At 44.7% G+C, this 2,412-nt stretch overlaps 2 annotated features.

The window, feature by feature from the left end:
- Positions 380-921: an enhancer, noted in NCBI's record as "OCT4-NANOG-H3K27ac hESC enhancer chr2:166564017-166564558 (GRCh37/hg19 assembly coordinates)". NCBI's record gives its function as "activates a minimal SCP1, AML or CMV promoter by ChIP-STARR-seq in naive and primed H9 embryonic stem cells {active_cell/tissue: H9 hESC(naive and primed)}" and the evidence as "EXISTENCE:reporter gene assay evidence [ECO:0000049][PMID:30033119]".
- Positions 1,464-2,003: an enhancer, noted in NCBI's record as "NANOG-H3K27ac-H3K4me1 hESC enhancer chr2:166565101-166565640 (GRCh37/hg19 assembly coordinates)". NCBI's record gives its function as "activates a minimal SCP1, AML or CMV promoter by ChIP-STARR-seq in naive and primed H9 embryonic stem cells {active_cell/tissue: H9 hESC(naive and primed)}" and the evidence as "EXISTENCE:reporter gene assay evidence [ECO:0000049][PMID:30033119]".

Below are 2,412 nucleotides of genomic sequence, written 5' to 3' on the forward strand. Positions count from 1 at the left end.
TTGCTACCACAGATAGAAAAGATAAGGTCTGAATCTGTATTGCTCCCCAGGAAACTACATTTTAGCAGCACTTACCGAGTAGTCACACCCATCTAAATTCAAATCCTAGCTCTGCCACCCACCTTCAGGAAAAACTTGGCCAAGATGTTTGACTTATCTGAGTCTGTCCCATGTCTCACTGAGGCTTTCCCAAGTGGGGAAAATGGAGCCAGTAATACAGGCCTACAGAGCTGTTTGAAGATTATAAACAAAACATTGCCCACAATAAGGGATCAATAAATGTTAGCTGATTTTTCTCTCTTTAAATTTCTGTTTCAGCTACAACTCTGTTATGGGTAGGTGTGAGGGAAAGAAATTAGGTAAAAAAAAATCTAAAGAAAAAAACATTGGGGAAAATAAAATAAGAATTCTCATTTAGTTTGTTTCATGCGCGTCCGTGTGAAGAGACCACCAAACAGGCTTTGTGTGAGCAATAAAGTTTTTAATCACCTGGGTGCAGGCGGGCTGAGTCCGAAAAGAGAGTCAGTGAAGGGAGATAAGCGTGGGGCCATTTTATAGGATTTGGGGAAGGTAAAGGAAAATTACAGTCAAAGAGGGTTTGTTCTCTGGCGGGCAGGAGTGGGGGTCTCAAGGTGCTCAGTGGGCAGGAGTGGGAGTCACAAGGTGCTCAGTGGGGGTGCTTTTTGAGCCAGGATGAGCCAGGAAAAGGACTTTCACAAGATAATGTCATCAGTTAAGGCAAGGACCGGCCATTTACACTTCTTTTGTGGTGGAATGTCATCAGTTAAGGTGGGGCAGGGCATATTCACTTCTTTTGTGATTCTTTAGTTACTTCAGGCCACCTGGGCATATACGTGCAGGTCACAGGGGATGCGATGGCTTGGCTTGGGCTCAGAGGCCTGACATTCCTGCCTTCTTAATAAGAAAAATAAAACAAAATAGTGTTGAAGTGTTGGGGCGGCAAAAATTTTTGGGGGGTGGTATGGAGAGAGAATGGACGATGTTTCTCAGGGCTGTTTCAAGCGGGATTAGGGGCGGTGTGGGAACCTAGAGCGGGAGAGATTAAGCTGAAGGGAGGTCTTGTGGTAAGGGGTGATATTGTGGGGATGTTAGAAGAAACATTTGTCGTATAGAATGATTGGTGATGGCCTGGATACGGTTTTGGATGAATTGAGAAACTAAACGGAAGATACAAGGTCCAAATAAAAGAAGGAGAAAAATGGGTATTAAAGGACTAACAATTGGGAGGACCCAGGACATCCAATTAGAGAGTGCCCAAGGGGGTTCAGCGTAATTACTTGCTTGGTTGGCAAGTTTTTGGGCTCTATCCTTGAGTTTTTTAATGTTGTCATACACCAGGCCAGATTGATTTAGGTAAAAACAACACTCCTCATTTAAGAATATGCAGAGTCCTCCTTTTTCAGCAGTGAGTAAGTCAAGGCCTCGGCGGTTTTGGAGGACAACTGCAGCTAAAGAGTCAACTTGGGCCTGGAGGACTGATAAAGTTTGTGATATGTCTGTGATGCTAGCAGAGAAGTCATTAGACAGGCTACGGAAGGTCATGACAGACGTTGAAATGCCTGCTATTCCAGTACCGAGAGCAACAGTGGAGGCAGAAAGTCCTAAACCGACCATCAAGGGAATTAGTGGAATAACTCTTTTTTGTTGTGTCGGTGTCATGAGGGGAACAGGGAGCTCTTCGGTCCCATTTGCAAATTGAATTTTGGGGGTAAGGAAGACTAGTGTACATGTGCCTGTCCAATTGGCAGGTAGGCACATGTAGGTAGAGGATCCACAGAGGAAGAAGAGACCTTGTGCGAGGCAAAACTGGAGATGTAAAGTAAAAAGGTGAGAAGGAGTGCTGAAAGGGGTGTCTTGTACCCAGACTCCTAGGGATCCAGCTAGGGCGGCAGCTGTCAGAGGTTGTAATGGGGACTGATGGGGTAACTGCGTAGAGGGGAAGGTTCGATTTTCATGGTGTATGAGAAAACGTCGAGTATCTACGAGCAATCTTTCACTGTTATTTTCGGGGCTGGGTATAAGTAAACAAGAAGAGGGCCTGGGAGGAGAGTCTGATGAGCAAGGGGAAGATAGCCAAGGATGGAGTGAAATACAGGGCAAGTGTCTTCCTAAGCAATAATTACTGCTAATGTTTTTAAGTTTGTCAGTATTGATAGAGGGCTTGTCTGTAATATGGAGCTGGAAGGCTCCAATTGTTTCATTGATGTTTGTAGTTGGACTTCGGAGATGAAGAGTAAAGGAACATCGAGAAGGTGAAAGATTACCTAGGGGAATTCCAGTGGGTCTTTGCCAAGAGATACACAAAGGAGCGGCCACAGGAATAGTAGTTTGTGTTGTGAGAGGTCCAAATATGGGGGGAGTAGAGTTGATATAAGGAGAAAGGTTTTTTAA

This window comes from Homo sapiens, chromosome 2 (genome assembly GCF_000001405.40).
Source record: "Homo sapiens chromosome 2, GRCh38.p14 Primary Assembly".
Classification (NCBI taxonomy): domain Eukaryota; kingdom Metazoa; phylum Chordata; class Mammalia; order Primates; family Hominidae; genus Homo; species Homo sapiens.